Here is a 14,037-nt window from a genome sequence, read left to right on the forward strand (position 1 = left end):
TTTGTAGCTCCCCAATACCACCATCCCTAAATTTGACAAGAATTAGGACATGTTGTCTTGCAAAAATAAGGTTCATGAAGTCACAAGAAATTGGTGAAATTATGTATATCTACAGAAGGAATACATTAGCAGCTTTTAATCCACTAAAAAAACAAGAGTCTTGGAGAATGGGACCTTTATCTTATCTCTGTGTCTCAAATCTTAGCACAACGCCTGGCACTTAATAAATACTGAATAGCATTTCTGGATGAATCAACGAGTGAATGAAGAGATGGCTTATAAATAAATATTTCTGATGAGACTACAATCCAAATCTTTAGAGATACCATAAATCAACATTTAATCTTTGTAACACATCTGAAGGAATATTCTTGAAATAGCGTGATGATGGTCTTTAAGGATTCTAGAAAGGGAGTGATGAGTCAGAATTTGCCAGAATGTCCCAGCATAGTCAGGAGAAAGAGAACCTCTCTGGTCGATGTACATGTTCTAATCCCATGGAGATTAGGGCACCAGACTATGAGATTTGGTAACATTTGCTATCAAGATGAACCAGCTGCCTTCATTCTGGCTTTATATTTCCCAATCAACACTGAACAGTGTTTAGCTGCTGATCTGAGTAAGCTGACACATGTAGTGTTTCTATTTCCATGAACAAGGCAATAAATTGGTGTTCTGATTTATAACTCTCTCCTGTGAGTTAGGTCAGTGTGTATGAATCCTTAATCTGATCATGCCTGATGAACCAAGGAGAATGAGTTCTTAGATATACAGTGCTGAGGATCAGATGCTGAATCAATGGTGAATCCACAATATTATGGATGAAATTGCATCAGCTACTCAACAGTTCTGTTTCTCTCAGATGGGTAGGAGTGCAGGGAGACTCGAGCAGGGGAAATCTTTTCCTTCGCAGTTATATTAATTTCCTGTGGCTGCTGTAAAAAAACACCACAAACTTGGTGACTTAAAATAACACACATTTATCTCCTAATTCTGGAAGTCAGAAGTCTGAAATCCATCACTCCAAAATAAAACCTTTACTATGTCTAACTGTCTAACATGATCAGGCTTCTACCTGCCCTGGCAATGTCATCTTCTGGAACTCTCTTTATTGCTCTTTATTCTTTCAACCACACAGGACTTCTTTCTGTTGATACAGCACAACAAGCTCTTTTATAACTTGGGCCTTTGCACTTGCTATTTCCTTTACCGCATTGTTCTATATCCCATACTTCCTAGGTCTTTTAATTCCTAACTCATCCTTCCATTCTCACCTTGCAAGTTCCCTCCTAAGAGGCCTTTCAGGACCATTTCTGTGATGATCTGTCATAGCACTCTTTATTTCCTTTGTATGGCTTACCTCACTCTGCAATGGCTTCAGTAGTTGCTTGTTAGCCTCCCTACTAGAATGAAAGTTCCATGAGTCTTGTTTACTCTGGACTTCCCAAGGCCTACTAGCACAGTGCCTGATAAAGAGGTTTTCAAGTATTTATGCTTTAGTTAAATGTTCAAGCACATAATTCACTCACATTCAGTACTCAACTAAGAATGCAGTTTGTATTAAGATTGAGCAACATCAGCCCAAACAGCTATTGTGAAAAAATAAAAATTGAGCAGCATTTGATTACTTAGAAAATGTCTGCAGAACATTCCCATAACTTTACCTAAATTATGCTGGGTGGCTAGCCCTCTTCCTCTCACCCCACCCCTCCACCCACTGGGAGTAAGACTCAGACAGCACATTCAGTGAATGCTTGCCTTTAATTTCATACATATCCTGGCCTTTATCTTCCAGCCTAGGGCTTTCTTCTTTGCCCATATTTGCTATTTTCACCTTGCTCCTTAAATGAGGAGACCTAGCAGTGCAATCAAGCTATTGTCTGGTAAAAAGAACCAAAAATATTCAGCATTTGTGAGAGAAATTATTGCTCCACTGTTGAGGTTTAGAATGCAGGATTCATTTGGCCTATTTTCCATCCTCAAGAAACGACAGCACTCACAGATTTACATACTTGATTCTTGTCTTAAATTTCCTGGAAAAGTAAAATTAATGATTACATTGACATCATCGAAGCAGCATGTTTCTCACAAGATTTTATACTAATATACCAAAGGCCAGATTTTAAAGCTGTAGCAATATTTTTCCATATGCGCAAAGAAAGCAAGGTCCGGCATTTGAAAACAAACCAAACCTTCCCTCCCAGAGTAGGACCAACAACAGCCCTTCACGGTCAGCCACAGAGCTCTTGCTCTTGCTGCCAGGAGGCAACATTTACGGTTAAATCTGGAGTTGTACAAAGCGGCCGCCCGTCTCTTCGACAATTTTATGTTCACGACTTCTGCAAAAGTAAGTTGTTTCAAAAACTTAAATCGTTAAGATGCATGTGAAGCCAGGCGCGGTGGCTCATGCCTGTGATCCCAGCACTTTGGGAGGCCAAGGCGGGCAGATCACGAGGTCAGGAGATCGAGACCATCCTGGCTAACACGGTGAAACCCCGTCTCTACTAAAAATACAAAAAATTAGCTGGGCGTGGTGGCGGGCGCCTGTAGTCCCAGCTACTCGGGAGGCTGAGGCGGGAGAACGGCGTGAACCCGGGAGGCGGAGCTTGCAGTGAGCAGAGATCGCGCCACTCCAGCCCGGGCGACAGAGCGAGACTCCGTCTCAAAAAAAAAAAAAAAAAAAGATGCATGCGAGAGAAAGAAATTACTGTTGTTTTAAACTATTGTATGTTTGTTACCATAGAGGTAACTCCAGGAATAATATTCTCGTTCTCATAACTCAAGAAAGAGCTCTATCATGGCATGCTTAATTTTATAGATACACAGACAGTCTCTGACTTACAAAGTTTCAATGTACGATTCTTCAACTTTACGATGGTGGGAAGGCAATATGCATTCATTAAAAAGTGGTCTAAAGGGCGAGTGTGGTGGCTCACGTCTGTAATCCCAGCACCTTGGCAGGCTTCAGCCCAGGTTTGAGACCAGCTTAGTCAACACAGTGACACCCCCATCTCTATATAAAAAATTTTTTTAAATTAGCCAGGCATGGTGGCAAGTGCCTGTAGTCCCAGATACTCAGGAGGCTGAGGTAGGAGCTGAGGCTTGAGCCCAGGAGTTCAAGACTGCAGTGAGCTATGATCATACCACTGCACTCCAGCCTGGGCAACAGAGTGAGACCCTCTCTGAAAAAACAAAACAAAACAAAACAAAACAGTCCAATAATCTCTCTCAATGCTGAGCAGTACAGCCGCAGCAGCTCCTGGTCAGCCATGCCACCACGAAGGCAACAACTGATAGATATTCTACAGCGTCCTGTGTTGCCAGATGATTTTGCCCAATTGGAGGCTAATACAAGTGTTCTGAGCACATTTAAGGTAGGGTAGACTAAGCTATGATGTTCAGAAGTTTAGGGGAATTAAGTGCATTTTTGATTTACAATATTTTCAGCTTATGATGGGTCATAACCTCTTTGTAAGTTGAGGAGCATCTGTAGTTTTTATCGGAAGACTTAACCCCTTTGTAAGTTAAGGAGCATCTGTAGTTTCTGTCACAAGACTTTACCCATTTAACTTTAAAGAAACGTTTCCTAAAACATGTCCCTTTGACCCATAGGTTTTACTCCATATGCATTCTATAGGCAAGGATGTTTGTAAAAGGATGTTTGTAAAATTGCTTCATGCGGAAATTCACAATGACCTTTAATAGATTAGAGGCTCTGAGAAGTTCTGCATGAAATAAACTTGACTAAGTGTGTTTAACTTAGTATTCCCAAGATGTGTTTAACCCAGAACCATTTTCATAAGTAGCGTCTTTTATTTATTTATTTATTATTTTTAGAGATAAGATCTCACTTTGTCGCCAGGCTAGGTGCAGTGGCATGATCATAGCTAACTGCAGCCACCAACTCCTAGCTCAAGTGATCCTTCTGCCTTAGCCTCCCAAGTAACTGGGACTATAGGCACATGCCACCACTCCCAGCTATTTTTTTGTTTATTTTAATTTTTCTTTTTCTTTTTTTTGAGACAGAGTCTTGCTCTGTCACCCAGGCTGGAGTGCAGTGGTGCGATCTCGACTCTCTGCTATCTTTGCCTCCCGGGTTCAAGCGATTCTCCTTCCTCAGCCTCCGGAGTAGCTGGGATTACAGGCACCCGCCACCAGGCCTGGCTAATTTTTGTATTTTTAGTTGAGACAGCGTTTCACCATGTTGGTCAGGCTTGTCTCAATCTACTGACCTCGTGATCCACCCACCTCAGCCTCCCAAAGTGCTGGGATTACAGGCGTGAGCCACTGCGCCCGGCTTGTTTTAATTTTTCTAGAAATGGGGTCTCATTATGTTACCCAAGCTGGTCTTGAACTCCTGGCCTTAAGTGATCTTCCTTTCTTGGCCTCCCAAAGTGCTGAGATTATGGGTATGAGCCACCGTGCCCACCCTTAGCATCTTGTTAAAAACGTATTTTGGGAAATAATATTCTAGAGAATGCCAAATAAAATGGTAAGGGTAAGTGAAGAGAAAAGAAGGTTTGTGAGTGATATTTTATATACGAAGCCCTTTTGTGATGTAGCATTGTAATAAGCAGTGCCCAAACAAGAGCTAATATTTGTTAGGTAAGCTTGGGACAAGTGTGGGAACGGCTGGTTAGCTGAAGTAAGATAAACTGGACCAAAAATGATTGCCCTCTTCTTCCTCTAAAATGGGAGACTGAGACAGCCAACCTTAATAATAAGCTCTGGGCCACAACCAGTCCAGCCTGTGGAGTATGATGTGCAGCAGAAGTGTTCCAGCCCAGGTATTCAATGCTTGGCACAGGGTCACAGAATATCCCAAGACATATCCCAGTGGAACGTGGTAATTGGGAAGTAGAGAATAAACAGTATTCTGAAGCTGAGCAGAGAGTCATTCAACAGCAGCTCACTCTATCAACACTTAACAATGTTGTTAGGAGCAGACTCCAGTCCCTAGGAAAGGGCCTATCTTAGAAGAATGAGAGCACCAGCAGGAGCTCCTGTAGATGAGCTGGACATCCTTGGAAGAAAAGACATAACCAGACCATGTGACCTGACAAGTCTCGTCTAGGCTCTGGGCAGGTACCCTCTTTGGCCCTGTAATCATGATACCTCTTTGACTAGACTGTTTCCTGGCTTCTTGAGCTGGGCTTGTCTTTACTTCCTACTCCCATGTCTACATAGCATGGGCTAATTTTTCACAAGTAGTCTTGTATTTCCTCCTGATAGTGATGTCTCACCACCAGCTTGATCCTTTCCCTACCATCCACTCTTCCCTACCTGCACCAGCCCTAAGGCAGTGGCTCTCAAACTATTTACTGTGCATCAGAATCTCCCGGTGGACTTGTTAGGACACTGTTGCTGTCCCCCAACCACCCGTCTTCCCAAGTTTCTGACTCAGTCTAGAGTAGAGCCCTAGAAGTTGCATTTCCAGTAAGTTCTCAGATGAGGAGGACCACACTTTGAAAACCACCACTTTTTTTATTCTTCCAAAGAAACAAAACATAGAATCATATAGCTATAACCTAGATTTAACCATTGTTAATGTTTTGCCAGTTCATATTTTTTCTGAAGTATTTTAAAGTAAATTAGTTCATATTTCATCTATAAATATTTCATATGTTGGAAATGAGGACATTTTCCCACATAACTGCAGGATTAGTATCATATTTAACAAAATTGACATAAGTTGCTGTTATTATCTGATACTCAGTCCCAGAAATGTTTTCTGCATCTATTCAAACTGGGATCCACTAAAGAATCACTCATTGCATTGACTTTTATGTCTCTCAAATCTCTTTTAAGCTAAATAGAACCCAACACACAGTGTCTTTTTTCTTTTTTCTAAGACATTAACTTGTTGAAAAGACTTATCCTGTAGAATATTCCACTTTCTGGGTTTGTCTAATGATTTCTTCATGGTGCTATTTAAACTTTACTTTATCCTCTGTATTTCTTTTTTTTTGAAATGGAGTCTCACTCTGTTGCCCAGGTTGGAATGCAGTGGTGCGATCTTGGCTCCCTGCAACCTCTGCCCCCTGGGTTCAAGCAATTCTCTGCCTCAGCCTCCCAAGTAGCTGGGATTATAGGTGCCTGCCACCATACCTGGCTAATTTTTGTATTTTTAGTAGAGAAGGGGTTTCGCCATCTTGGCCAGGCTAATCTTGAACTCCTGACCTTGTGATCCATCTGCCTCAGCCTCCCAAAGTGCTGGGATTACAGGAGTGAGCCACGGCATCTGGCCTATCCCCTGTATTTCTTATAAAGTGAATGTTAGATCTTAAGTCTTGATTAGATTCAAGTGAAACATTTTTGCTAGGTTATTTCATAGGCAAGACAGTGTACTTCGTATTGCACCACAACCAGAGACACATGAACGGTTTTCCCAGAATTAGATGCTAAGATTGATCACCAAGTAAAAAGGAAAACAGCCAGAAGCCTCTACTTAAAAGTTTTGTTTGTCCAATTACAACTTGTGGGGTGTGCCCAGCAAGTATCTTGTGGGGTGATACACTGGTACCATATACATATTTCAATTCTTCATCAATCTTTAAAAAAAAAAAAAAAAAGTAGAGACAGGGTCTTGCCATGTTGCCCAGGCTAGTCTTAAATACCTGGGCTCAAGTGATCCTCCCGTCTCAACCTCCCGAGTAACTGGAATTGTAGGCACGAGCTAACATGCCTGTCTTCCTAATCTTTCACGTAACTGTTTTAGCATCCATTGATCATTCTTGTTTGAAACAATGACTTCATTAGGGGTGGGAAAATGGTCATTTTTCTCATTTTACCATTCCTTATACATTTCTTAGCTGGCATTCTCTTGTAAAGAGATTTTTGGCCTGGCGCGGTGGCTCACGCCTGTAATCCCAGCATTTTGGGAGGCCAAGGCAGTCAGATAACCTGAGGCCAGGAGTTCAAGTCCAGTCTGGCTGACATGGCGAAACCCTATCTCTACTAAACATACAAATATTAGCCGGGCATGATTATGGGCGCCTATAATCCCAGCTACTCAGGGGGCTGAGGCACAAGAATCCCTTGAACCCAGGAGGCAGAGGTTGCAGTGAGCGGAGATCACGCCATTGCACTGCAGCCTGGGAAGCAGAGTGAGACTCTATCTTGAAAGAAAAAAAGAGAGAGAGAGATTCTTTTTGTCTTCAACTGGGGCTATTTGTTTACCCCAAGACACACTTCTTACAGAAAGCCTGGCTACCATGAAGTATGACAGTGGGTATAACAAGACTCTACCCTCAGACTGCCCCTCCCAGTTAGTTGGGGCTCTACTGACTATGACCCAGGCATGGGAAAAAGACATGACACTCATCTGAAATGAGGTTTTATTTAGAAGCCGGTCTTTGAAATAACCCAAGAGCCCGACTATCAGCATGGGGAAATAAGCTCATAGCTGGACAGACAGCAACGACATAGATCCGGTGGAGGTGAATCTGCAGATAGAGGATAATTGGTCTTGGCTTCAAGGATGGAAAGAAGCCAAAGATTGGGAATTAGGTATGGCATTTGAAGGAGTTAAGGACTATCCACTCCAGACATATGCCAATTTGATACTTTGATTATTTCAAGCTACAAGCACTTGAGAAACTGTAATTGCAGAAAGAGTTATCTGACCTGTCCTTTCCTTCGTGTGGCAAGCCATAAAAATTCCTTTGAGGAGGATGCCTTCCTCATACTGTGGCAAGAAAATAACCCTTATCTCCAAAGACCAGGAATTGTTGCTGCAATGGATCTGTACAAATAAACCTACTGAAGAAACCTTTATCTTCCATTAGCTTTACACACTCCCGTAGGTCTCCTAATGATTCCCCTTGAATTCACTGCCCCTGGCCCATCTCTTCACAATTTATGATTCTTTTTCTAAAACATATAAAAGCTTTCTGCTTTGGCCATTTCTTCAGATCTTCACTCTCATGAGGGTCCCCAAGTACACATGTAAAAATAATAAAACTGGGCCAGGCGCAGTGGCTCATGCCTGTACTTGGGCATTTTGGGAGGCCGAGGTGGGTGGATCACCTGAGGTAAGGAGTTTGAGACCAGCCTGGCCAACATGGTGAAACCCCGTCTCTACTAAAAAAATACAAAGAATTAGCTGGGCTGGTGGCACATGCCTGTAGTCCCAGCTACTCAGGAGGCTGAGACAAGAATGAATGGCTTGAACCCGGGAGGCAGAGGTTGCGGTGAGCCAAGATCGTGCCATTGCACTCCAGCCTGGGTGACACATTAAGACTCTGTCTCAAAATAAGAAGAAAAAGAAGAAGAAAACTTGTATGTTTTTCTTCTGTTAATCTGCCTTGTGTCAATTTGATTCCTAGATGCAGCTGAAGATCCCTCTTAAGAACTAAGACAGATAGAGGTGATCTTTAGCCTCCCTATGCTTTATAAACCTAGCCCATTGTGCCAGTTAGTAAAGGCAAAAGGTAAAAACACTCGTTTGTATGCTGAGTCATCTTCACTTTGGGATTGTATCTTTTTTAATCAACCAATAAATAAATGTTTACACATCAAGGTAAAGTTATTTATGTATCTGTGAGTTGGCAAATGATATATTGGTCTCTTATTTGTTTATTGGCAAGTACATATTTGTTAACTCAATAAAAAGTGTTGATTTTGTATGAGGAACTTCATAAAACGTTCATGGCTAGAGAAAAAGATTGAATAAGAAAACCATATTATAAGAGTATTCAAGAAAATTGTTGTCAGAGTGTATTTTTCTTTTTGAGATGGGAGTCTCACTCTGTCACCCAGGCTGGAGGGCAATGGTATGATCTCAGCTCACTGCAACCTCCACCTCCCGGGTTCAAGCCATTCTCCTGCCTCAGCCTCCCAAGTAGCTGGGACTACAGGCACATGCCACCACACCTGGCTAATTTTTGTATTTTTAGTAGAGACAGGGTTTTGCCATGTTGCCCAGGCTGGTCTTGAACTCCTGACCTCAGGTGATCCGCCCGCCTCGGCCTCCCAAAGTGCTGTGATTACAGGCGTGAGCCACCAAGCCGGGCCTTAGCAGAGGGTATTAAATTAAAAGTGCTTTACTGAGTAATTCCTTAATACCAGGTTCTCAAACCGTTCCACTGAAATACCTGTAATGGTGGAGATGAAACCCATATATACAGGAGGTCTGCCTGCTGCAGCTACTCCAAGGATTAAATTAATTTCAAGCATCATATAAAATATTAACTGAAATTCTCTGTTCACTTCATGCGGTATCCTTTGTTTTATAAATAATAATAATCATAACGCCCTTCAAAACATTGAATAAAATCAGTGCAAAACATTGAGCAAAAATGCAGTGGGATTTAGGGTCCTAATCCATAAAATAGGGGGATGATAGCATCTCTTATAAGATTATTATGGACAACTAAAATTGTATTTATAAAGCCCTTAGAATTGTGACTGGCACATAGTTACTACTTTAAAAATATTTGTCCATCAGGTGCAATGGCTGATGCTGTTAATCCCAGCACTTTGGGAGGCCCAGGTGGGAGGATTGCTTGAGGCCAGGAGTACATGACCAACCTGGGCAACACAGTAAGATCCCATCTCTACAGAAGACTTTTTTTTAATCAGGATCCCTTGAGCCCAAGAGATCAAGGCCACAGTGAGCTATGATCACATCACTGCATTCCAACGTGGGCAATAGAGACTCTCTCAAAAAATAGGGCCTGGCGCAGTGGTTCATGCCTGTAATCCCAGCACTTTGGGAGGCCGAGGTGGGTGAATCACCTGAGGTTGGGAGTTCGAGACCAGCCTGACCAACATGGAGAAACCCCCTCTCTACTAAAAATACAAAATTAGCCAGGCGTGGTGGCACATGCCTGTAATCCCAGCTACTCAGGAGGCTGAGGTGGGAGAATTGCTTGAACCCAGGAGGCAGAGGTTGTGGTGAGCTGAGATCACACCACTGCACTCCAGCATGGGCAACAAGAGTGAAACTCCATCTCAAATAAATAAATAAATAAAAATAAAAAAATAAAATATTTGTCAAATAAAATTAAAGATTGTTCCAAGTTCATGCTATTGTTTTAGCTACTACCATGTAATTGCCTCTCAGAGTATTAGGAATCCAGTTTGAATGTGATTTTAATATTTAAGGAGATAATTATGGATTGAGCAGAAGAGAGGGGAGATTGTGATTCTTTATTTGAGCTAAGTTAGAAAAGGGATCAAAGAACGGATGGAAATGGCATGAAGCCCAGGGTGTTGGCAGAGGGTAGCCAGAGTGGCCAGGCTGGTTGGTGCAGTCACTTAACACACATTTCAGAGCACTGACCACAGGCCCAGTGCCAGGCACTACAGACTGTGGAAACCATAAAAGCAGTTGCTGAGATGATGTGATGCAGTATTTCTTAGACCATTTCCCTCAGAATCACTAAGATGTTTGTTAAAAAAACAATACCAGGGCATAGGCCCCACCCTAAAACCATTAAATCAGAATCAGAATCAGAAATTCTGAGGGCAAAAACCTGGAGACAAGTGTATCTAAAAGTTCTCCAGGTATTTCTAATGTGCAACCAGGATTAAGAATCACTAATGCCAGGTGCAGTGGCTCATCCCTGTAATCCCAGCACTTTGGGAGGCCGAGGCGGGTGGATCACGAGGTCAGGAGGTCGAGACCAGCCTGGCCAATATTGTGAAACCCTGTCTCTACTAAAAATACAAAAACTAGCCGGGCGTGGTGGTGTGTGCCTATAGTCCCAGCTACTCGGGAGGCTGAGGCAGGAGAATCACTTGAACCCAGGAGGCGGAGGTTGCAGTGAGCCGAGATTTCGCCACTGCACTCCAGGCTGGGCAATAGAGGGAGACTTTGCCTCAGAAAAAAAAAAAAAAAAAGAATCACTAACCTGGTTCAGCCTTTTCATTTGGCAGATGAGAAAACTGAGGACTCAGAAATTAAATAACTTGCCTAAGATGGTAGAGCTCTCTTCAAACAGGTAACTGTAACACAGACTGGCTATGCACTAGTACAGTATTTTTCAAAATTAAAGTAATGCTTCATTAGTAAATTGTAAAAATAAATTTAGTGCATCCTGACCAGAATTTATTTGGAACAGAATAAAAAAATCAGAGTACAAATCAAGTAATAATGATACTATTCCATGGCATGTATGTGTGTTTGTGTGTGTGTGTGTTTATGTGTGTATTCTGACTAGAAGTAAAATGTCATTATTATTATGGATTGTTGTTAAAAAAAAATTGAAAAATCCTGCTCTGGAGTTTCCTTAAAATTTGAATATCTAAGGTTAGAAGGTGATGTCTGCCTATAGGAGTGATATAACTGCCTCTGCTGTCTAGTATGTAGCCCACAGAGAGGGTATGGATGGTATCGAGGTTAAGAACATGGGCTTGGGGGTGCACACATCTTGGAGAAAATTGAGTGTATGCCCTTTATTGGTGATGGGAACTTTTGCGAGAATCTTAAACTCTTTATGGCTCAGATACCTAAACTTTAAAATGAAAATAAAAACACACACCTCATAGGACTGTTAGTTTTAAATGCCATAATATCTGTAAGGCACTTGGCATAATGTTTGGCGCTTAGTAAATAGTCAATAAATACAAACAATTAAAAATGCATCCACGATCTATCATTTCCTGATTCAGAGAGGAAAGGAACTAAAAATGTACTAGGATTAAAACGGTTTTTGGAAGGATGTATATTCTTGTGACTAATGTTTATTTTAGAAAGACGGAAGTGAAAAAATAGCTGAAATAATTGCTTTAATGGGCAACATATTTACAAAAACTTTTTTTTTAATTTTCACAGAACCAGAAATTATGGTGCTACAAAAATACCTGCTTATCTTAGAGCCAAAACATTTCAATTTTAAAAAATGGCCTCGTATGGCAGATACATAAGTCAGGTATGCCACTCCTGGGATCATATCGGATGGGAGGCAGGATTAGATTACAGCTCCAGACAGAGCGGCATGCAGAGGCTTGCCTTGTGAATTTTAGCTCCAGATCGACTGCAAGAACAAACCAGCAATCCTGAGAGGATCCACAGACTCTCTGAAGGAAGCAGACTGCTCCTGCAGGACCCAGGAGACCCCCAAATACTGTGAGTGCCCCAACTGCAGTGCCACAACTGCAGAAGTGGGAAAGGGAGACCCTCCTCTCCCGAACACACACCCCCACTGGAGAAGCCGAAGATCTGTTTGTGGGAGAAGTTTCTGACTTTACCTGAAGCTGAGTCAAGTTAGAGAGCCAAGCGAAAAACAGGGGTAGAGGAAGCGGCAGAAAGGCCCTGGAAGCTCGCTGGGTGCCCCTGCAGCCCATTCCTGCCTGGCACCACAGGGATCCACTGAGAGGGTGGCCAGAGATGCAGGGGGTAAAACTCCACAGGGAGAAGGAATGCTCTAGCCGAAATTTGTACCAATTTGAACAGGGTGAGAAACCTCCTGGCCAGAACTCAGGGGAGGGCGTGAATCCAGTATGCAGACTTCACTCGTAGGGGAAGAACTAAAGCCCTTTTCTTTCACAGCTGTGAGGCAGATAGCCTTGGGCAAGTTTTCAAGCCTATCTCTCCCTCTTCCTGGAAACAGACTCAGGGCTGTTGGTGGGACATGGTGGGAGTGAGACCAGCCCTTCCGTTTGCATGAGAGCTGGGTGAGGGCTCTGACTGCCAGCTTTCCTCCACTTCCCTGATAACCTGCATGACTCAGCAGAGGCAGCCCTAATCCTCCTAGGTACACAACTCCAGTGACCTGGGAATCTCACTCCCATCTCCCACAGCAGCCACAGCAAGACTTGCCCAAGGAGAGTCTGAGCCTCCTGAACAGTCTGAGCGTATGCCTAGCCCTGCCCCCACCTGATGGTCCTTCCCTATCCACCCTGGTAGTGGAAGATAAACGGCATATAATCTTGGGAGTTCTAGGGTCCCACCCACTACTGGTCCCTCTCCACATTACTACAGCTGATGTTTTCTGGAAAATGCCACCTCCTGGCAGGAGGCCAACCGGCACAAAAATAGAGCATTAAACCACCAAAGCTACAGACCTTCAGAAAGTCTATTGCACCTTCTGCCACCTCCACCAGAACAAGCGCTGGTATCCACGGCTGAGAGACCCGTAGACAGTTCACATCACAGGACTCTGTGCAGACAACCCCCAGTAGCAGCCTAGAGCCTGGTAGACTTGCTGGGTGGCTAGACCCAGAAGAGAGACAACAATCACTGCAGTTCAGCTCACAGGAAGCCACATCCATAGGAAAAGGGGGAGAGTACTACATCAAGGGAAGACCCTGTGGGACAAAAGAATCTGAACGACAGCCTTCAGCCCTAGACCTTCCCTTTGACAGAGCCTACCCAAATGAGAAGGAGCCAGAAAACCAATCCTTGTAATATGACAAAACAAGGCCCTTCAACACCCCCCAAAAATCACACTAGTTCACCAACAATGGATCCAAACCAAGAAGAAATCCCTAATTTACCTGAAAAAGAATTCAGGAGGTTAGTTATTAAGCTAATCAGGGAGAGACCAGAGAAAAGTGAAGCGCAATGCAAGGAAATCCAAAAAATGATACAAGAAGTGAAGGGAGAAATATTCAAGGAAATAGATAGCTTAAAGAAAAAACAATACAAAATTCAGGAAACTTTGGACACACTTTTAGAAATGTGAAATGCTCTGGAAAGTCTCAGCAATAGAATTGAATAAGTAGAAGAAAGAAATTCAGAGCTCAAAGACAAGGCCTTTTTTTTTTTTTTTTTTTTTTTGAGATGGAGTTTCACTCTTGCTGCCCAGGCTGGAGTGCAATGGTGCGATCTCCGCTCACCGCAACCTCCACCTCCCGGGTTCAAGCGATTCTCCTGCCTCAGCCTCCCAAGTAGCTGGGATTACACCATGCCCAGCTAATTTTATATTTTTAGTAGAGACAGGGTTTCTCCATGTTGGACATGCGGCCTCAAACTCCTGACTTCAGGTGATCCACCCACCTCAGCCTCCCAAAGTGCTGGGCCGTGCCCAATGACAAGTTCTTCAAATTAAACCAATCCAACAAAGACAAAGAAAAAAGAATAAGAAAATA

General features: G+C 42.9%; 1 long non-coding RNA gene across 2 annotated transcripts; it reads right to left on the bottom strand.

Moving 5' to 3' along the window:
- Positions 1–315: 315 nt before the first annotated feature.
- On the bottom strand, positions 316–13,106 carry LOC105369746 (uncharacterized). Of its 2 annotated transcripts, none has more exons than XR_007063288.1 (2): positions 13,012–13,106; positions 316–935 (listed from the first exon to the last, which is right to left on the bottom strand). It is a non-coding gene; the product is annotated as an uncharacterized LOC105369746 (long non-coding RNA). The 2 variants fall into 2 exon arrangements; XR_944896.3 differs by lacking the exon at positions 13,012–13,106 and adding an exon at positions 12,196–12,359.
- Positions 13,107–14,037: the final 931 nt, after the last annotated feature.

This window comes from Homo sapiens, chromosome 12 (assembly GCF_000001405.40).
Source record: "Homo sapiens chromosome 12, GRCh38.p14 Primary Assembly".
Lineage (NCBI taxonomy): Eukaryota > Metazoa > Chordata > Mammalia > Primates > Hominidae > Homo > Homo sapiens.